Source organism: Homo sapiens, chromosome 7, assembly GCF_000001405.40.
Source record: "Homo sapiens chromosome 7, GRCh38.p14 Primary Assembly".
Taxonomy (NCBI): Eukaryota; Metazoa; Chordata; class Mammalia; order Primates; family Hominidae; genus Homo; species Homo sapiens.
This window is the reverse complement of record NC_000007.14, coordinates 134,916,710-134,939,886: the sequence shown is the minus strand read 5'-3', so window position 1 is coordinate 134,939,886 and position 23,177 is coordinate 134,916,710. Positions and strand designations below refer to the sequence as shown.

The following is a 23,177-nucleotide window of genomic DNA, read 5'->3' as shown; positions in this document are numbered from 1 at the left end:
GTTCAAGGGATTCTCCCGCCTTAGCATCCTGAGTAGCTGGGATTACAGGCATGCAACACCACACCCAGATAATTTTTGTATTTTTTAGTAGAGAATGGGTTTCACCTTGTTGGCCAGGCTGGTCTCAAACTCCTGACCTCAAGTGATCTGCCCACCTCGGCCTCCCAAAGTGCTGGGATTACAGGTGTGAGCCACTGCACCTGGCCTAAAGTGCATGTTTTACAAAGCAGAGCACAGTTTTTTGCTCTTTATTGATAAGTTTTAAGTCATTTGATTGTCTTCTTTGGGTATTATCTGATTAATTACTAGGGATTCACTTCTATGCTGCCCTAATTAGTTAAGACTTCAATCTTTCACCATGGGGTATATACCTAGGATGTCCCTCGGACACACTGAAAATGGGGGCTGTACTTTGCCATTCTCTGCAAGAGCTTTGTCTGTAAATCAGGAAACCTGACTTTTGGCTCCAGTGCTGACAACAAACTAGTTGTGTTACTTGGACAAATCACTTGACTGCTCTGGGATGCTGGTCCCAAGTACGTGAAAAAATGCGGTTGGACCAGATGATTCCTTCCGAATTTTTCATCCTGTCATTTCCCTCTTGGGTCCTCATGGGTCATGAGAGGCTACAGAAAAAAGGAGCAAGCTCATAGCCTGAATGACAGCTTCACTGTGGCTCCCTGATGGCTGTCCTTGCCCAAGAATATATCAGTATTCACTGGACAGGAAGGAGGAAACAAAATATATTCTCATTTTGGCCTATTGTTGTTAGACTTAGCCCCAGAAACCATGGACTGGAGTTTATGTTCTAGTTAAGAAGCATCTGTGGCTCCAAATGTGAGGGAAACCCATTTTAGGGATAACCATGAAATAAATTCCGAGTAGGAGCTCACGGTCTGTGGAGCACTACGCATGGAGACATTCCCTTTAACTCATTTATCCTATGTTGCAGTCAGAAAAATTTCCATTCTCCCCAAATGTATTATATCTGATTTACTGGTCCCAAAAGTGTTTAAAATAGATTTGTAAGATGATACATGTCTAACAGAAAAAAAATCCCCCCTTTTTTCAAGCTCTGCCTTTATTGGCAAAGGCTATAGTGGATGGCAGGCTTATATTCTTTTTGGAAAACCTTAGAAACCTTGTCAATGTAATAATGACGATTTGAGTTCAACTGAAAATTATTTTCTCTTTCTGGGAAATGAATAAATAAAGTAATTCCGTAGAGCCTTTACATTTTTTTTTAGATGTTATGGCAGATTTAACCCAAACTCATGGGATTCTGAGCCCCCTGGGAAAGGCATTAGATCTTATAGGTCAGACTGTTACCATGGAGAACGTCCGTGCTGAAGGATTAATAGATAGCCGGGTATCCTGAAAAAGTTTGTGTGCTTCATACACAGATAACATTAGCATACTCATAAAAAAGGCTCTGGCCAAATGGGATCATTTGGGTTTTGAAACTCTAGATATTTGGGATATCCAGTGGAATAATACATGGGGATGAGGTGGGGGATGGGAATTCAAATGACAGGCCCTTGTGCCAGAGAGACACTCAGAAAGTCAAGCAAGCAAGAACTGAGATGTGTCTCGAGCATATTTTGCATTATTTGGTTCCAGAATAGCAACAAGAGCTGGGTGTAGCTACTGTTTCTCAGGCTGGGTTTTACGTGCTTTTGTTAGCTTCATAAGCCCCAAATCCTTTCCTGGGTTCAATTTCTATAACATGGACGTCTTCTAGACTCCTCGCTACTACTGCAAGTTTGGTCCACGGACAACATGGACCTCATGGAATCAGATTCTGCATTTAATAAGACTGCCAGGTGATTTGCATGCACACTAATGTTTGGGCAGGATTGATCCGCATGACACGAACATCACTTTTAATACCTCAGGAGCAGCTCGGCTAGAAACTCTGTTTTCCTGTTAGAGGCCAGAAAAGAAAGAAAATAGCTCCTGCATGAAGAACCAAAAAGAGACTTTTTATGATTGGAGAGGAGAGAAAAAAGCTAAATTAAGTTTCAGTGTTGGTGATCGTCTGCAACTCATTGCCACAGTTAAACTGCAGTGGAGAAAGGTTTTATTTTGTGTGTTTTTTAAGACATTGGAGTGATTTCTGGAAATGTTTTCTTTAAGAAGGCTCACGTGATGTTTGTGTTTACTTGTGGTTGCCCTATCCTATGCTGCATAAATCCTTGAAAGGAAAGGTTTTAGTTAGTTGCTTTCTTTCTTCTTCTTTTTTTTTTTTTTGTACAAAAAGGAAAAAAAAATAGGAAGAGGTTGTTTAAAATGGCTGAATCATGTAAACATGATTTAAAGCTGTCTACATAAAGAAACAACACAACTAGCTGGAAAGGGGAAAACCTAGTCTTTCGAGCAGCAGGTTATGTACACAGTATTAAAAAAGGAATATAGATTGGGGTTGTTTTCTTTTTTTAAAAAAACCAGTTTGAGTAGCTTATCTGGCCTTGTGTCAAAAACAAGCCAAAAGTTTTGGAACTGGCTGGAATGTGCTGAGGGGCAACTTGGGAAAACGGCAGGGCTCACTCATTCCTGGGAGTATCTGATTGACACAGAGGACGCTGTTGAACTGGGGCCTTATCTGAAAAGAGACAAAAGGATCATCCGAGTGGCAACTGATGGGCCCTTCTAGTTCTCAGACACTCTACATAGGTATAGAAAGCTTTGGTCAGTAAAAACAAATTAGTGAACTGAATGAAATTTTAAATATAGAATCCAGTGTTTTCTACAGCCTCCCTTCCCCCATGTGTTTAATTACTGAGTCATCATTTCATGCCCACTTCTTTCTATAAAGACATTCACCAAGAAACATTACAAGAACCCATGTGGGACATATTTCTGAGTTTAGTTCTGAGGTAACTTTCATTTTTCTTTTTTGTAAATGAATTTGTAGGTATTTGGTCACCAAATGAAAAGTATTTCCCAACATGTTCAATGAATGATTTCCTTGACTGCCTCATGAGAGCTAAATTCAGTTTTCCTGTTATTAACATTTACACTTTCTCCTTCCTTTACATGGCCTGTGCTCACATTCAATTTTCACTTCCAAACCACCACAACTTCTATTAGAAACAGAGGAACATACATCTTAACAGAAATGTAATATGTAACATGAACTAGGGGTTTTCATTTTTCACGTGAAATTGACAAAACGTATTTAAGAAAATAACCCACCCCCTATTTAATCTGGCCATGTTTTCTAAATATGGATTTCTCTGTTTAAGATTTTGAATTTTCTTAATAGATGCCATAGTTTTCTTAATAGATGGGTTGGAGCATGTTGGCTACAAATCACTTCACCAGTCTCATAGGCGAAGAACTTCGGGTCTTCCTACTTCAAATAATTCAGTTTCACCACATCCTAATAAGTATTGTGAACTTATTCGATATAGTCACAATTTTTAAGATTATTTGGGGCAAACACAGCATGAGAGTTGAAGTGCAATCAAGTGTTCTGATGTGGTGTTCTGATTACTGTCAAACCCCGTGCCATTCTATCTGTATAGCTCCTTGTTCACTTACCTACAGTCAAATACCCTGGCACCCGCTCCTGTGTGTGCCTCAGAAATGCAATGCAGAACATTTGGCCAAACTTTTCTTTTGAAAACCAAATATCATCTTCAGTTCACCATATTTTCTACTGAGATGTGTGTGGGTGTTTTTCCTTTGAAAAGTTAAAGCATTAATCAAGGCCAGTTGGAAATATTTCATGATTGAAATGAAAGTAGAATGGCTCAAGGAAAAAAAATTAGCATTCAGAAGAATAGAAAACAGGATAAATTGATTCCAGCAGTGTTTTTCAAGCCTTTTTGATGACGTCCCACAGAAAAAAAGACAATTTACCTGACAATGCAATACTTACTACCTACAATGCCCTCTGATGGCTTCTATCCATTTCATTTTTTAAAAAATGCTGACTGATACATTTAATTAATTTTGAGACACTCTAAGCTGATCTCACTATTCAGTGGACTGTGAGTCATGGCTTGAAATACACTGGATATGAGGTTACAATTTTGAGATCATCAGACCTGAGATATCTTGGAACACTGACTGCTTTTTCTGTTGCTTTACGATCATTACTTTTCAATCATATTTACCTCTTCTTTTTTGAAGGTAGGCTTGTCTTCTTGGAGCTTTTCTCTTTTAGCTTGCACTTTAGTTCCCTTCTCTTCTCCCTTTTTATTTTCAAGAATGGTAAGGTCACACAAGTAAAAGAAGCCCTTTCTAGTTTACAAGAGTGACAGGGTGCTCGGATCGCCTTGCAAGTGCTGCGTGGGATGGCTTCTCTTCTGCCGTCTCAGCGCTCACAGCACAGTGGTTCTAAACAGCAAGGTGGGATATTTTCTTCCCACCCCAACATCTTCTCGTGTGCCTGCCATTGCGCTCACTGAAATCTAGCATGATGTGGCACTCCTCGTGTGTTTACAAACCTCGTGTGTGGTTTGGTGCACTTTGCTCATGGTCTCAATTTTAGCTGTGTTCATGAGCCTCTTGTACAGAAGCAGGAGTTAAAGATACCTTCAGTGCAATGCAGGCTTAGTGACAGAGAATTTGCTCTGGAAAGGTGAATGTGAAAGCATCTCTTTTTTTCTTTTTTTAGGAGTGGTGGTGGTGGTGTGGTGGTGATTAGGTACAGTGCTTTCAATGCAGTCTTGCAGACAGAAAAAAAATCTTTCTCAAAGCTTACAAACATTTCCCCCCTACTATTTCCACCCTTCCTCAGGCCACATGAATTTGTGTCACCCAGATAATAAAGAAGCAGCATGTATGCTCTTAATTACCAGTCAAATATAAATCAATACTACCCTAAATTAATGGCTTTCTGCAAGTCTACATTAAGCTGAGGTCTACATGTTGGCAAATCAGGGTTTTGACTTTTTTTTTTAAGGAAAGTTTCCAACCAGTTCCTTTCCCCCTCTTTATTACCAGTTAATTTCCAGGGGTTTGTTTTTGCCTTTTTGTTGTTGTTGTTGTTTTTGTTGTTGAGATGGAGTCTCTCCCTGTTGCCCAGTGGAGTGCAGTGGCACAATCTCAGCTCATTGCAACCTCTGCCTCCCAGGTTCAAGTGATTCTCCTGCCTCAGCCTCCTGAGTAGCTGGGATTACAGACATGTGCCGGTACACCCAGCTAATTTTGTATTTTTAGTAGAGATGGGGTTTCACCATGTTGGCCAGGATGGTCTCGATCTCCTGACCTTGTGATCCACCCACCTCAGCCTCCCAAAGTGCTGGGATTACAGGTGTGAGCCACTGTACCCAGCCTGTTTTTGCCTTCTTAAGATGAAATGTCTGACCATTATTCTTCATGTCTCTTTCCCACCCCAGCTTTTATCATTTTTTTAATTCAACGTCAAACCCATGAGTGAGGTAAGGAGTTATGGGCCTCTTGCCTCATGCAGACCTATGGATAGAGGAAAGATAATTAAAAGAACGAGTTTAGATGCAAGCACAGAATCAGAAGCCAACACACCACCACCACATTTATCATCTTTGGATTAATTCTTTTTTTGGGTATTCATAACAATCAAGCACAGAGCAATTAATTTCTCTCTGTCTTCTGGACAGCCAAATTTACTGGCTGTCCCAGTAAATTTGGTTGATTGAATATTCAGCCATCAATCAATTGCTGCATGCTTGTGTATCGCTATGGCCTGAAAAAATGAACAGCTTGCCAAATGATCAAGCATGTGAGCTATATGCATGTGGCCTCAGTCCCAAATCAGATGTGCATTACATTTCTCACAAGTCACAGGCATCACACATTTGGTGCAAAATGTTTACTGTACCTGTTTCTTTAGGACAGCTGTCTGAAGTTTATCTTCTTGTGCTTTCTTTTCATTTACCCATTTCCCTTCTATTTTCTGTTCTACCTTTTCCCCTTTTATCTTTGTCTCTTGCATGGCATGTTTTTTCTCTTCTAGCTGCTTGTTACGTTTCTGCTCTTCTACCTTAGCCTTCTCTTCCTCCTCTGCCCTGGCCCTTTGCCTCTCCTCTGCTGCCCTTTTCTCTTCCTCTTTTATCCTCTGCCTCTCCTCTGCTGCCCTTTTCTCTTCCTCCTTTATCCTCTGCCTCTCCTCTGCTGCCCTTTTCTCTTCCTCCTTTATCCTCTGCCTCTCCTCTGCTGCCCTTTTCTCTTCCTCCCTCATCCTTTCCCTCTCTTCTGCCTCTCTCCTTTCTCTTTCTTGGGCAGCTGCTTTTTCTTCTGCTTCAATTCTTGCTCGTTCATCTGCTATCTTTTTGTCTTGCTCGGCTTTAATTCTTTCTCTTTCTTCTGCTTCCAACCTTGCCCTCTCTGCCTCAGCTCTTTCCTTGTCTTCCTCTTCCATCTTTTCATGATGGGAAATCTCATCTGAACCTTGTTCCCTCTCCTCCTCTTGTTTAGGCTCTTCTGAACTGATCTGCCCATTTTTTAATGACATTACCACTGTTTCCTCCTGGCTTTCAGTTGTTTTCTCTTCCACCATCACCTCTACCTGATTTTCTCCAATGCTCCCTCGCTTTGGCTTCTCCTCTTCCTCCTCCTCCTTTTCCTTGTCTTCTTTCTTGTTTTCTTCAGCATCCCTCCAATCATTCTTCTGGTAGGACTTGGTGACTGTTTCTGTTTCCTCTATCTCGTATCTTTCTTGGCGACTTTCACTTTTTTCTTCCTTCTCGGTAGTTTCATTTTCTGCTGTGTCATTTTGCATTCTTCTGCTTGGGAGCGACAGACTTGCATCTGTTATTGTTGGGTCGAACTCCTTCTGCCGCTCCAGAGCCTCCTGAAGGCGTTTTTGGCGTCTTTCCTCACGCCGAGCCAGGCGCTCCAGGAATGCGGCCTCATCATCCCCTTCCACTTGAGTGTTTGTGGTGGTTGTCTTGGCCTCCTCGTCAGGCACACTGTACAACAGAAAGAACAACACCAAAGACAGCTTGCTCATTCATCAGTCAGCAGCATTCATACAGCCTGTGCTACCCAGGACTACAGCAGATGCCAGTAGTGCCAAGCTTGCCCATATCCCCAGTACGTTACCATTTTAGTACACGCCTGCCTGGCTTTCAGCTGACAGCATTTGCAAGCCTTTCTCTGGGGACTGGAGTCTACTCAACATGCCAGAAGTGCTTTCGGTATTAATGTCCCCTGGGAGCAGTTTTCAAACAAAAATTGATAGCCTGAGTGTTTAGATACCTCAGCACCCCTCACTTTTTGAGTGGGATAACTCCGAGGTGTGTATTCCACACTGGATCTCAGAGTTTCCCAGTGGAGTGAAGCTCCAGATACCCACAGTGGTGATGTGCTTGGTCATGCAACGTTTATTTGGTGGCCTTCCCTTTTCTGTCTTACCTTCCCACACCTCCACCAGTGTTTCCTAGCATCACCTTACAAATAAACGACTTGCAGTCAAATCGTTGTTTCTGGACTTGCTTCTTGGGGAATTCAAACTTAAGGATCAAACTGAAATAATAAGTGAATTCCTTCCATGTCATGTAGTATTCTCCCATGTCATCAAGTCATCTAGAATTCCTGATCTGGATTGGAGGCTCCCAAGGTACTTTGAGAGGAAGAAAATGTACATTACAGTGTTGAGATTCCACACTCACGCCAGTGACCCCAATGGAAGAGACATCTAAGTGTCCCTTACAATTCCTGCTCCTCCTTCCATAGTTGGGGGGAGTGATCACCACTCAAGGATTAAATTTGCACCCTCTCCCTTCTTTGCACCTAGGCGGGCCATGTGACCAATAACTGCCAATGAAATGTAAACAGAAGTGTCCAACCAAGGCAATGAACAAACAGAGGTGCACTCCCTGTCTTCTCTATCTCTGTCTGTTGGTAGATCAGGGAGCACCAAGCCCTAGGGATTGAGAGTCACAAGAGAAAAGAAGACAGGTGGCTGGTTCTACCAACTAGACAGAAATATGCATAATGGTAAGTGTTACTGCACTAAACTTAAAATTTGGGGGCACTAATCGTTATAGCAGCCAGCGTTACCCTAACTAATGTATACACAATCTACCTTCTTTGTCAAGATTTCCATGAATAAAGGGTTTCTTGTCCATCTTTTCTACAGTGGAAAAAGGGCAGTTAAATTTGACATTTATTTTAAAAAGGAAAGAAAATCTCCAAAAGTTAAACTGTTGTCCATCACCTCCCTCACTACTGCAGGATGCTGGACACTGTCCAAGCCAGGGTGTTGGTTTCTATTTGCAGGAAACAACCAGTCATGTGATACCAGAACTGTGACCAGAGTTGGAAGAATTTGTCTTGCAATGTTTAGAAACTCCATCAAATTTCATAGTTCAGACCAAACTTGGCCCTTTCAACGTTCAAATTCACTTAATTTTGGAAAAAACACATTTCATATTTAACAATGAAAATGGCAGAGTAAAAACTAGCTTTAAAACTTTCTTGGCCTTTACTTTTGCTTCAGGATATTGCCTCCATGAAATTAGACATATAAGGATTAAATGTCCCTACAAATGCAAAAAATTTATAATTTAAGGGGAAGTCTATAGAGGGGCCATTTGGATCAATTGAATTCTAATAATTTTTAAAAGGCACCAAAATTCCAAAGTGCTAGCCAGATTAAAGTACTCTTATGCTAAGAAACCAACAAACTGTATTGAACATTTCTTTGCCTATTTATAAATCATGACCACAATTATCAGTAGATATCAAATGCCAGTTAGAGTTGTTTAGCCCCAAGAAGACTTATTCTTCTTGTGGCTAACTAATATGTCAGAGATAAATCACACATTCTCAGACCTCAATATGATTTTCTAAAAAAAAAAAGAATTTGATTTCAATTAATAGCATGAAATAATGAATAACAGCCAAATATCCGAAGAGAAGCACAAGGAAAAGCAAGATTTTAAAAGCAAGAAAACTACAGATCACCAGTAATTTTTAAAGCTCCTGTTGACCACTCATTAATAACAAGATTCAGGAAAGGCATCAAAATGCCATTTTTAAAACTCTTTCTATTATTTCTCTCTCAGCTTGAAAATGGAAAAGGCAGTGAATGACTACGTTGCCCTCCCGTGTTAAGAATCTGGTAACAGTGAAAATTTATTGAGTGCTTACTATGTGTAAGACACTGCATTTTACATGTATTGTTACATAGTTTAAGTTTAGCAGCATTTTTTGGAGAAAGGTATAATTTTTATTTCCATTTAACTGAAGAAATACAGTTAGTGAAAGGTCAAATTGGGAGTCAAAGTCAATTAGTGAACCCTAGAAATTATACCTATTTCCCCTTTGCTATACCTACTCCCCAATTAGAAGCTACTTATTGAGGGAAAGGGTAAACAATATTGTGCTACCGGCCAACATTTTCAAGACTGCTTTCTGAAACCTTCTAATACAGCCTCTCAAACTTGGGTTAAGGAGGCCAGGACCCATTCCCTTTAGAATTTTCTAAATAGACTGAATTAAACAAAACAAACTAAAACCAAAACCACATGTGAGATCTTATATAGTGTAACCATTATAATCAGTCCATGGTTTTAAATTAAAATTATTTTCTCCATTTTCCTCCTCAAATATCCTCATCTTTTTTAGACCTTGGGGCACATAAATGACAATATAAATGACATATACTAACCATTAGCATAATGAACCATGTGACCTTATTTCTGCTGCAAAAGCCCTCTTTGAAGAAGTTGAACCTATTAGGCATTCTCAAGTTCCCTGATTTCAACCAGGGCCCGAGTGAGAAAATACGTAATAGCAAACTCATTAAGTGTGTTTGAATAATCACATTAAATTAAGCGGAATTCTGTATCTTGTTGAATATTATAATGATCAGAGACTATTGATTCAGGCTGTATATTAGAAAAAAGAAGACATCTGCAATTCATGCCCACTTTAAAAATTCACGTGTTACCTATTAATGGTAGCCATGGAGGACTCTACTAAACTAACATATCTTCAGTTCAAAACAGATAGCAACACCCTACAGAATAAATGTAAATACTTTTCCTTATTTAAAGATATAACCTACCAGAAAACAGTATAGATTCCTTAAAGAACTAAAAGTAGAACTAACATTTGATCCAGCAGTCCCACTACTGGGTATCTACCCAGGGGAAAAGAAGTCATTATATGCAAAATATACTGGTACACGCATGTTTATAGAAGCACAATTTGCAATTGCAAAAATATGGAAGCAGCTTAAATGCCCATCAACCAAGCAGTGGGTAAAGAAAATGTGGTGTATATATATATATATATATATATACACACACACACACACACACACACACGTATATATACACACACCATGGAATACTATTCAGCCATAAAAAGGAACACAATAATGGAATTCACCGCAACCTGGATGGAGTTGGAGACCATTATTTGAAGTGAAGTAACTCAGGAATGGAAAACCAAATATCAAATGTTCTCACTTACAAGTGGGAGCTAAGCTATGAGGATGCAAAGGTAGAAAAGTGATATAATGGACACTGGGGACTCGGGGAGAAAGGTAGGAGGGTGTGAGGGGGAAAATACTGCGCATTGGGCGTGGTGTGTACTGCTCGGGTGACGAGTGCACCAAAATATCAGAAATCACCATTAAAGAACTTATCTGTGTAACCAAAACCCCACCTGTTCCCCCAAAACTATTGAAATTTAAAGAAAGAATTAAACAGAAAAAATAGACCATACTTATTTTTAAGATATAGCACACCATACTTATTAAATTAAACAAATGCTAGATTGTGAAATGAAATAAAAGCCTTCAACTGGGGTATGTTTATGAGATGGGAACGGGGTGGAGAGAAATAGAATAGTGTGTCCTAGTGTCTAAATCAGATTGCCTGTCTAATCAGATTAGTTGCCTAAAATGACTGCAAAATAATTAAACCAGTTAGATTGAAAAAGGGTTGAGTTGGGCTGAGAAAGGAATGCTCTGCTCAACAAATTCCATTCAACGGACAGGCTAAGACGCAAGTTAGAAACTCCCCGTCCCAAAGAGGACAGTACCTGTTCTGGGCATTCACCTCCACCTGGTCGGTCACCTGTCCCAAGGATTCTTCCTCCTGCTTCTGCCGCAGCCGTTCCTGTCGGGCTCGGCGGCGCCGTTCCCGGGCTGCCTCCTCTTCATCATCGTCATTCCTCTGGTAGGCGATTCTGCAACATTACAAAGACAACCTCTTGAGCGTGCCACTTGCCACGTGTCTTCACCAACCTCTTGGCAGGAACAGCCCTGAGCCCTTTTCTGAACTTCACTGCTTAATGAACCACATACGTCTAAAAGGATGGTTCAGTTCCTTAAGTTTAGCGACCTAGTCAGCTAGCTTTCAAACTTTTAACTATTTGAAAAACATGAATCCAATAGCTACAGAAGATAATTTACAATGACCAAATAACAACTTAAACTAAAACATTCTGCACAAAAGCAAGTTGCCTTTGGAAACTGTGGGTTAGTTTTTTTTTTTTTTTTTTTTTTTTTTTTGAGACCCAGTCTTGCACTGTCACCCGGGCTGGAGTGCAGCAGCACAATCTCGGCTCACTGCCACCTCCACCTCCTGGGATCAAGTGATTCTCCTACCTCAGCCTCCCGAGCAGCTGGGATTACAGGCACATGCCACCATGCCCAGCTAATTTTTGTATTTTAGTAGAGATGGGGTTTTGCCAAGCTGGCCAGGCTGGTCTCCAACTCCTGACCTCATGATCCGCCCGCCTCGGCCTCCCAAAGTGCTGGGATTACAGGCGTGAGCCACCGGGCCTGGCCTTGTAAGATTTAGAAGAAGGGACCCAAAGTATTGAACCAAAAATAAACAAAATGCTTACTTCAAAAGATACAGCATGTTGCATGAGTTATTTGTGTAGACACTGTCACGAAGATCAGAAAAGAATCAAGTTACACTACCAACCGGGACTTTGGTGCTAATAAGCCAAAATTATTAAAATTATTTAATAATTATAATAAATATTATATTATAATAAATATTATTAAATAATACATATTATTAAAATTAAATATTATATTAAATAATAAATATTATTAAAATTGGGAGTAGGATATCTTCTTTGCTTGGATTTTGTTTTTCCCTCCAGTTCCTTTTCCCTGGCGAGAGAAGGTGTTACTGACAATTGGTAGGATGCTTCAGAGTCAGTGCATTTTGAAGGGGTGGCAGCTCCCTTTAAGGCCCCCCTCTTTTGCTCTAAAATGTGCCTTAGTATCATACCACCCACATGCTGGGCACATCACAATGGCCCACAGGTGTGTATTTAGATAGATGTCTATGAGCTGAAGAAGGCAGAAGAGACACAGAGGACTTCACATGTGTATATATTATTTAGCTTTTTTTTTTTTTTTTTTTTTTTTTGAGACACAGTCTAACTCTGTCACCCAGGCCAGAATGCAGTGGTGTGATCACAGCTCACTGCAGCCTTGACCTCCCAGGCTCAAGCAATTGTCCCACCTCAGCCTCCTGAGTAGCTGGGACTATGGGTGCACACCACCACACCCAGCTAACTTTTGTATTTTTTTTTTTAAGAGATGGTGTTTCATTATGTTGCCCAGGATGGTCTCGAGCTCCTGAGCTCTATTTAGCTTTTGTAGTCATCTAAAGTGAATGTCTATTTGAGGAAATTACAAATCAATATCACTATGCTAGATATGTTTCTCCTAATACTTATTTCCAAATAAAGAATTGGGGCTGGGCAACTGCAGATGCTCAAACTCAAGAGGAAATAGCTATTTTGACACGTTTGACTTAGCTGTTTTTGAAGGTAGAATGTGTACTGAGATACAGAGTGCCAAGAAAGGATGGGTGCTGGCTTGATGGGTCAATGGGTTGGGTATGGGTATGGGGCTGCATTGTGTAGGAAGCTGCTTTTTGTATTGGAGAGTTACAGTGTTTTTATTACAATGTTACTTACATATCTACAAAATAGAAACCCAGATATGTAAACATTTCATGCTAATAATTCTTTTTAAAACTGTGGTAAGAACACTTAACATGAAATCCACCCTGTTGGCATATTTTAAAGTGTACAATACACTTTAAATTGTTAAAATTGTTAACCATATTGTTAACTATAGGTACAATGTTGCATGGTACTTCTCTAGAACAGGCTTATAATTCTTATATCATTGCAAAGCCAAAATAATTTGCAAATTAAAACAAAACAGTAGAACCATACTACTTATACCATATATTAACCTAATATAACTGATGATGGTTTGCTCATGTTAGAGTTGTAAGTTAGGCATTTTTAGGCTTAGAGTCAGTACTTTATTTCATCTGTGTCATCTTTTGACTTCAATAATAAGAATGCTATGAATGTTTTTTCACTGAGGTATCTCATAAAAAACAGGATTAATGATTCCGAAGGTTGGTTGGTTTCTTCTTTGCTACTTGAGAAAATCTGACTTCATATTTACTAAAATCTGCTCATGTGCAATCCTCAAAAGCCAATACAAATAAAATGTCACTTAGTAATTCTATAAAATGGGCTGGTTTATTTCACAAATATGGGGGGGCAATGTGATATAGTTGATAATGGATGACTAGATTAGGATTCAGAAAACTTGGGTTTTAGAATTGGTCTCTTACTAATTTGCAGCCCTTTGATTAACCTTTTAAAGTTAAATTTAAAGTTAAATTTTAGAGTTAAATTTTCTTGTGTGTGACAATCAAATGAAATAATAGATAGATATGTTGTGGCAAAGCATTCTACACTGCAGTGTCTTCCTGTTATTAGGAAAGTTCAGTTAAGGAGCCGCTTCGTGAGGAAAAATGAGTTCAATTTTAGACTTGTTGAATTTGAGGTGACATGACAGGATTCGAATGTTCCTTTCTAATTCAATCACATTGTAGTTGAAGTAGAAAGCCCTTCCCAGTGGTTTGGCTTCACCCTTCAGATTCTTGGCCTAATGTTCCTTTGGCTTATTTCTTGGTAGACAGCTTTAACCGCAACAGGGAGAATCAATCCTTAATAACTGCTTCCTAAACTAATCAAACAGGAAGTCTCAATTTGCTTTTCTACATCTCTGGATCAGCCATGAGGTCATGACTGTTACTTGGGGCCTTCTTCTTCCAAGACAAGCAAGAGGCATAAAACTCCGTATGGGACATCCCTATTGATAGGGTTAGGCTTTGTGTCCCCACCCAAATCTCATCTTGCATTGTAATCCCCCGTGTCAGGTGTTGAGGAAGGAATGTGGTGGGAGCTGACTGGATCATGGGGGTGGTTCCCTCATGCTGTGCTCGTGACAGTGAGTGAATTCTCTCAAGGTTTTTATAAGTGTTTGGCAAGTTCCTCCTTCGCTCACTCTTCTCTCTTCTGCTGCTTTGTAAAGAAGGTGCCTGCTTCCCCTTCCTCCATGATTGTAAGTTTCCTGAGGCCTCCCCAGCTATGAGTGAGTCAGTTAAACCTCTTTTCTTTATAAATTACCCATCTTGGGCAGTTCTTTACGGCAGTGCAAGAACGAACTTATACACCTATCCTAAAAGCAAAACTCCTCCGTCCCCTTAATGGAATATAACCTTAAGTCCTTAATTTCCCACTATTTTCAGAACTTACCATCTTTCTCTTTTCACCTACCCACTGGGCTTCATGGCTGGATATTGCTGGCTGTTAGCTCTGACATGAACTAGATTTGCCACGTAGGCCACATCACATGTAACCTCTCTTCATCTTTGATTTCTCAGTGGAGCAACCTGAACAACCGATCATCTCCACTATCTCTTCTACCTCTTCTTGCTTGGTACAGCTTAAAGTTTATAGGCAATCATTCTCCATTGGGAGCCCATTTTCTAGGATACACAGCTACTAGAGTGTATTAGTCCGTTTCACACTGCTATAAAGAACTGCCCGAGACTGGGTAACTTATAAAGGAAAGAGGTTTAATTGATTCACAGTTCAGCATGGCTGGTGAGGCCTCAGGAAACTTACAATTATGGCAGAAGGTGAAGGGGAAGCAAGGCACCTTCTTCACTAGGTGGCAGGAAGAAGCGCCAAGTGAAGGAGGAAGAGCCCCCCCTTATAAAACCATCAGATCTCGTGAGAACTCACTGTCATGAGAATAGCACGGGGGAAACTGCACCCATGATTCAGTTACCTCCACCTGGTCTCTCTCTTGACACATGGAGATTACGGGGAGTACAATTCAAGATGAGATTTGGGTAGGGACACAAAGCCTAACGATATCACGGGGCAAAATATCTATGGATCTTTTTATGACTACTAATAAAGAAACATATTAAAATTATTTACAAAGTTAAGAACAAAAAAAGAGCTAAAATGGTTTCATGGCATTTTCAATCATAACATGTCCAGTTGCTGGTTCAAGAACATATCAGTTGACTTTATAGGTAAAATTGTGTCCATGCCAAATGACTTGATAGGGGTGAAAATTCTTCAACTCTGAGGCTCCCTACATTAGCGTTAGGCAAGCAAAGCAAACAGTCATTTCTTAGCTTTTAGGCCTCTCCCTCATGGTGAGCTTCCCATCCTACTAACACCACAGGTTTATTATTTTTTCTTCCGAAATTGAAAAAAAAGTACCCTGAATTGTTCATTCTTTTGGATTTTAAAAGCAACGCACACATAAATTTTTTTTAAAACCAAACAATTCAAAATATATAAAGGAGAAAGTAAAAGCCACTCCCGAGAATCATGCAAACCCAGATTTGAACATGATGAGTATGTGATATATTCTACCATTTTCCTGTGCATGCACAGACATTTTTGTTTTTAATAAAATAGGGTTATGTCATACATATCATTTCACAAACCATTTCTTTAATTTACCTTGTTTATGACTATTTTTAACATGTTAGCAATATATAATTTCAATAGCAACACAGTATTACCACTTAGGTATACACATACATAATGATTACATGGATCTATTATGACTAACCAATTTTCTACTGAGGCACATTTAAGATTGTTTTCAACTTTATATCTTCTTATAAACAATGCTGCTAAGGACATTATTACAGACTCACTTTAATCACTTGTTCAATTATTTACTTAGGAAAACTTCTCAGAAGTTAGAATTTCTGAGTTTAATTTCCGAGTTTAAGAGTATGCTCATTTTAAAGGCTTTTGATAATCATCGACAAATTGTCAATTTAATACCAGTAATGCATGAAAGCTAATTTCACCACAAAGCAGAATTTGTCCAAAAAGACAAGTACACAGGATCCTTATTATATCAAACGATAGCACAGGGTCTGCTTCATGCTTCAGTGAAAGACAAAATGTTGACATTTCTGATTTTCCACACGCCAGATTTAAATGTATTTGAAATGCTGCTGACTAGTAAAAATCATACCTAACCAACCACTGGATTGTAATAAAAGCATAATAATCCATTTGTTCCTTCTGTGAAAATTCAGCAGATGCCAGTATTAACCTGTTTGCCATATGCTACAGAACAAAGCCAAGTGATGTTCCCAGATGATTCAGAAGGAGTGTGGGATCCTGAAGTTTATCTGAATCATCTGAGAATTATTGAATTTTGTTTAATAGAGTTTAAATCAAATGCATTTTATTGTGGATCTATTTTTTAAAAAAACTGGCAATCCACAAATGATCTATAAAGTACTTCTCTATGAAATAAAATGTTTGTTTGACCAGAATCCATGAACTTCCCACCTATGCTGGTTGGAAGAGGGTTTATTGTGGAGTATTCCACTTTGTTACTTGGTAACTGCTTTTAGCTCATCTGTTGGCACAAACACTTGGAGAAAGGTACCTTTCTGCAGCAAAGGTCAGCTGACAGCAACATGGCTCATTGGATATTTTGGAGAAAGAGAAATAATCTTGTGTGTGTGTGTTCACACTGACGAATAAATGCAACGAATTTTAAAAGTCCATAATAACCACATGATGTTATTTGATTGTACGAGTAGCATGAAAAAGTAGAGAGGATTGGCTTTTCTTCCATTCCTGGAACCATTGCTTAAGGGCCCTGGTGTTACAAGATAAGAAAAAAATATATATGCAATGGGAAAGCTCTCTTCTAATGCTGTGGCTTTTACACTGAAGATATTTTAGGTCTTTAACACCAGGCCTTGCTGCCTCAGTGTATTTAAGTAACAAGATAACCATGTTTTAGTTTGTGCCTTTCAGATAGAAAGTTCAAATGAATTAAAGTCTTGCAGACATGGCAAATGAGGAGACCAATGAGATGTTATTACATTTGGAAGGGCCAGGGTCTAAATATATGCCAGACGAGAGCCAGAAGAACTTGCAGAAGCTTCCGTAGCAAGACACTGGAGCAAGGAACGAGTTTTCCTCTTGCCCCAGTGTCCCCCGACCCCAGCTTCCCTAGCAAATATTTCTCAAAACTTCTGCAACACTGGCAAAATTCTTATTTTCATCTCAACTATAGTATAGGTCGTCTTGTTTGATTTTTTTACTCCGTGTTCCCCGTAGTTTAAAGAATGTTGCTCTTATTCCCTTCATTTTGTCTTTTCTCCATTTTGGTATCTTCTGGTTTGAGACTATAGGACATCATCCTTAAAGGTTCAAGTAAAATTGTGGCAATAGTATTTTATTAACAAGACAAGATCTCTTATGAGGAAGCCATGTTTAAAAATTAAATCAGGGAAAAATAATAGACATTTTTATGGGGAGGGTGCTGATTTTATTACATGTTTAGGAGCATTAAAGACTCAGAGAGAATGAAAAAGAACAGTTTAAGTCTATAGAGAGTACAAATATTTACTTATTTTATGTTGATAATCACAGTATTACTCTGAGTAATTACCTAGATAACCAAATAGTTAATCAAGTTTGGATTTGCATCTTGCAATGCTGTATTTTTTACATACATGGGATATATAATATAGTTATTTTGCCATGTAAAAAATTTAATAATGTGTTTGAGGACTTGCCAAAATCAGTTCACTAGGGCATACCTTTATTTTCATCATTTATGTAATAGGATAGCACAGTTTAACCATTCTATAGAAAGACATTTTGGGTTCTTTCATTTTTTCCCCTATTGCACGATGCAAGTATTTCTTTAGGGTAGATATTGAGAAGTGAAATAGTATGTGTTCACTTAAATTTAAAATTTAAAAGATCAGTTTTGTTTTGTTTTGTTTTGTTTTGTTTTTTGAGACAGAATCTCACTGGAGTGCAGTGGCCCAATCTCGGCTCACTGCAACCTCCACCTCCTGGTTCAAGTAATTCTTGTGTCTCAGCCTCCCGAGTAGCTGGGATTACAGGCTCCTGCCACCACGCCCAATTAATTTTTGTATTTTTAGTAAAGAGAGAGTTTCACCATGTTGGCCAGACTGGTCTCGAACTCCTGACCTCAGGTGATCCGCCCGCCTCGGCCTCCCAAAGTGCTGGGATTACAGGCGTAAACCACCATGCCGGACCACAGCAGTTGTTTTAATTTACATTCCCATGCTTTGTCATTTCAAATAGCCAAGTTGGATCAACACACACTAAGATAGCCACTGCTAACTGGTAAGATTAGAGAAAAGATGTAATCTTCTAGATCTTGTATTGCAATGGTTTCTAACATCTTAAGAATGAGGATCCTTTTAAAACATTATGAAAAAATTAAGATCTCATGACAATTGCTTATACTTTTGTTATTTGTTGATAAAGTGTTTTATAAAATATCTATAAATTCAATAGTGCATAAAAAGGAATCTGTATATTATAAACCAGTGCATATAAGCTTATTTGAAAAACAGTCTTTCATACATGAGACAACTGTTCATCAGACTACAGAAAATACTTGGTGTGGACATGAATTTGGGAATCTCTTTCAAAATCTTCACCGCTAGAGAACAATTGCTGTATTGAAAGAGATTACAAGATTGCCAGTGGATAGACTTTGAATTGTCACCTTCAAACTTTTTTGTGTTCTTCAATATTCCCTGTGCTTGATAAGCACACACACAAATGCAGACACAGATGCAGACACACAGGTTAAGTGAGAAAAAGCCTCAGAGAAAACAAAAGGCTCAAGGTATTGTAGTGAAGCCCAGTTATAAAAGACTTAAAGAGGACTCCATTCAGATCAAAGTTTCCAAGTCTGTTTTCCTTAATTGTTTCTGCACATTCCTATATTTTGAAAAAGAACTCTGCACCTAAAATTCCAACAGATCAAATAAACTCACTATCTGACAGAATGAATGCTATTGAAGTTCACCATTTTTGAATTCATAGTAACTTACTGGCCAGTAGACAGTTGACCGGTCCCCAAGATCAGCTCTAAAATTTCTGCATTCCACTGTCTGTCCACTTTCATATAAGAAGTCATTTGAGAGAAGGCAGTGTTGGTCGATGGAGATTTCAGGCTGGTAACTGAGATACTCAATCCAGAACACTATTCTGTCCCCAGCTTTCTGCAGCAATACACTCCCCATGAAGGCCACACCCCAAAGAAGAATGCCTGGGGCTCACAGCCTCAAAAAAGGATGACTTCTTAGTCAATTACTTTTATTTGATTCCCATCATTATTGGTTCTGCTAATGGCATTGTCTGAACCTGGGTCTTAATTTGGGATCCAACTTAAAAAGTTAAAAACCTCATGTAGGTTAGAAACATGCTTATCAACTATTTGGAGGCAAAATGACTCACACATACTTTCATTATTCTTTTTCATGTACCAAAACCCCCAGGGATTTTATTTCATAGCATGAAATACAAGCACATTCTCCAAACATATCCAAATAGCTCTATAAATTGCTCAAACATTCTTAGCAAAATCTCAGACCATACTGTGATCAGGAGGGAAAATCCTGAGCTACTGAAATGAGTCATATTTGCCTTGCAGATTTACTGTATGTTTGAAAGTTAAAAGAAGTTTATAGAAACATTCCAGGCTCTTAAATATGATTTTGTTTATATGTGGTGTCTGCAAAATGTTGTGGTTTCATTTAATTCACATAAAATCCAACTCTGAATTTTTTTCCTTGGATTCCTTAAAAGGCAAGCATTAAAAATTATGGAGGAAAAAAAATCAAGAAAATAAAAATATTTTTCATATCAGAATATGTTTAGACATTTATTAGTAAGTAGTCTGTAGTGAATTGGTCTGTTATTAATACAGGATAGAGTGAAAGAAAGCCCTCTTGGTTTAGAAGAAAAAAAATTTTCATGGAAAAGTGCTGTATTATTTCATTGTGGGGTTCATTGCTGTATCAGTGTTGTGCCTTTTCCTGGGGTGAGAGCATGCAAGGGGATATATTACTTGGAAGAAAGTTACTAAGGAAGCAAAGCATTTCCCACTTCATTTATTCCCCATTCTCCCACCCCATCTCCCCATACATAGACATATTTGAGAGTCACTAAAGTTTGCATACCAACCATACTTGGGCTCTCAATAATAAAACACTGTGTACTTGGAAGCTTTAGTGTTCTTATGTATGTACTCACAAGTTGTCACCACCAGCCCAACATTTGCTTTATACAATGGTGACATCCCATAATTGGATGAGTTTCTATAATTACAGACCCTAACAGGGGAAATATGCTGCAGAACAGAGTACATGGTGACATAAAATCCTCTTCTTGTGTCTACACATACCATAGCAGTCTGGTTCTTAGCATCATTATGACTGGAACATCCTGTCCAACAAATAGATCAGGTCTGGTGGGTCCTGTATGGTTAGAAGGCACCCAGGGAGTACTGAGAGTTCTGATTCTGACTCTGAGTTATAAAAGGACAGTTTTTAGAATGATCCTGCTCCAGGGCAGGCGGATCCCCAAGCGTACAGGCTCATTTCTGAATCCATGCACATATTCACAGGACATTTTAAAATGATGGATTCTAATTGTTTGGGTTTATTATTTCAAGCTAAAAAGACTTTTATCATGACTTATATTGTACCTACAAATGAATGTATGGTACATGACTACTTTGTTTTATTACTATTATTAATTTATTTACTTATTGAGACAAGTTCTCCTCTGTAACCCAGCTGGTGTGCACTCATACAATCTTGGCTCACTGCAGCCTCGACCTCCTGGGTTCATTCATGTGATCCACCCACCTCAGCCCCCTGAGTAGCTGGGACTACAGGTGTGCACCACCACATCTGGCTAATTTTTGTATTTTTTGCAGAGACAGGGTCTCCCCATGTTGCCCAGGCTGGTCTCAAACTCCTGAGCTCAAGCAATCTGCCTGCCTTGGCCTCCCAAAGTTCTGGGTTACAGGCGTGAGCCACTACGCCTAGCCATGTACATGACTACTTTAAAGAACAATCAGACACACAACCATGTGCCTACTACCCAATGTAAACAGCACCAGTTGTTAGGGATCCTTATGTGCTCCTCTTCAATCGCATCCCTATCTCTTTTTATATGCCTCCAAATAAGCACCAGCCTGAATTTTAAGATCTCTGAATTATTCTCTTGCTTTTCTTTGTAGTATTACCAGCATGGTATGCATCCCTAAACAGCATATTTTTCAGTGTTGCCTTAAATAAACTATGCATAACAATACTGCATGCATTCTGTGATTCTTTTATTTGACATGATGTTTTTGAGATTCATCTATGTTTATATCAATAGCTGTAGTTTATAACAACAGATGAGGCACAAGCTTTTCCAAACATTTCTTGAGATTATAATTTGTATGGGATAGATGTTTAACTTCTTTTTCAATTGGTGCCATTTTCTTTTAAAACATCCAGAAATGGTTTGTGATATTCAGTACAAATAAAATGAATAGAAACTGGATTTATCTTTTATTGAGTTGCTATTTTTCTCACATTTATTTTTAAAAGAAATAGTGCATCTGCCAACCCCAGTAAATATGGATTTTGGAAGGATAAGTCCATGACAGTTTCCTAAGATAAACTAAAATCTATTCATCTTGCCACAAACAGGGACAGAATTTGCACCACCCCATCTACCCCACCCTATTAAATCAATAAGCTTGCTCAGATACAAACATTCACTTTTTAATTTATAAATGTTTACAAAGAATATGTAAGGAAAGACAGGGTTGATGGTGGAGAAGATATCTATTGCTCCTGACTTAGTTACTTGAATTAAACTTTAGCTGAAATGAATGAAAAGGAGTTATGAATGCTTAAGTGGCCAGGAAGATAATTAAAATAAAATAACCAAACTCCTTCCTCTCTTTCCATCATTATTTAAGATTCAACTGGTATAAATGTGGCTAAAAAAGATAAGCCCAGTTACTACCTGGGTTTTCATGAACTTTACCTTTTCTTCATCCCCAACCTAGAATTCTTTGTTTATAACAGTCTTAAATAATGAGTAAGAATTTTAAATAGGCCTGGTGTGCTGGCTCATGCCTGTAATCCCAGCACTTTGGGATGCCAAGGTGGGTGGATCATCTGAGGTCAGGAGTTCGAGACCAGCCTGGCCAACATGGTGAAACTCCGTCTCTACTAAAAATACAAAAAGTTAGCTGGGCGTGGTGGTGCGCACCTGTAATCCCAGGTACTCAAGTGGCTGAGGCAGGAGAATCTCTTGAACCCAGGAAATGGAGGTTGTAGTAAGCTGAGACCACGCCATTGCACTCCGGCCTGGGCAACAAGAACAAAACTCCGTCTCAAAAAAATAAAAATTTTTTTTAAATAAATATGATCCTCAGTGAACTTAGGCTTTTAAAAAATGTTGTCAATCAAAAGTAAAATCTGAGTTGGAGCTGTTCTTTGACTGCTATTATCTATTAAAGGACAATTTTGCTTTAATGTGCATCGTAGATGTGGACAATAAACCTTGGGCTTAGTCGTTTAAAAAAAGTAAAACATTAGGAAACAGTTCAGACCCAGGTGTCGATGGCTGGCAGCACTATATTTTTCCAGCTCTTTCTCTTGCATAGAGGTCTAGATCTGGATATGCAACTGAATCACACCTGCTCCAGAGCAGGATGTAGGGATATTCTCACATTTCTACTGGCTAAGTTGGATGCAATGACATTTGACCACAGGTATATAAACAAGCACATTATTTTCGTATCTGAAGACAATCACCTAGAAAGAGAAATTTCCACTGTCGTCTTCAAATGTAAAAAATATGAACTCCTTTTAGATAAGTCTTATATTTAGAGTGATCTAGAAGTTCGACTCATCCCTAAATCTGAAATGTTCATGTGATGCAATACTAAAGTCCATAATCTCATGTGGTTGAGCTTCAAATTATGGTACCACTATCACATCGGTAAACATCTGACAAAAGACATAAAGCGATTGGAAAATGGAAGCAAG

The 23,177-nt window shown here is 38.9% G+C and overlaps 1 protein-coding gene across 48 annotated transcripts in view, besides 1 other annotated feature; it reads right to left on the bottom strand.

Annotated features, from left to right (window-relative positions):
• The window catches only part of CALD1 (caldesmon 1), a 259,231-nt gene that overhangs the window by 30,843 nt on the left and 205,211 nt on the right, over positions 1-23,177 (bottom strand). For 25 of the 48 annotated variants that reach the window (NR_199386.1, NR_199387.1, NR_199388.1 and 22 more), the window contains 2 exons: positions 10,987-11,133; positions 6,497-6,899 (listed from right to left, as the gene is read on the bottom strand). Coding sequence is in view for 44 of the 48 variants with exons in the window: in NM_001438779.1 (NP_001425708.1) it covers positions 6,497-6,899; positions 10,987-11,133 (550 nt within the window). In the remaining 4 variants the exon portion in view is untranslated. Of the gene's footprint in view, positions 1-4,121; positions 4,200-5,809; positions 6,900-10,986; positions 11,134-23,177 lie in introns of all 48 variants that reach the window. The other 23 variants (NR_199389.1, NM_001438770.1, NM_001438769.1 and 20 more) reach the window with 3 other exon arrangements.
• Positions 1,773-1,978: a silencer, noted in NCBI's record as "fragment chr7:134622660-134622865 (GRCh37/hg19 assembly coordinates)". NCBI's record gives its function as "represses an EF-1alpha promoter that drives an FKBP-Casp9 reporter gene in an ReSE screen in K562 erythroleukemia cells {active_cell/tissue: K562}" and the evidence as "EXISTENCE:reporter gene assay evidence [ECO:0000049][PMID:32094911]".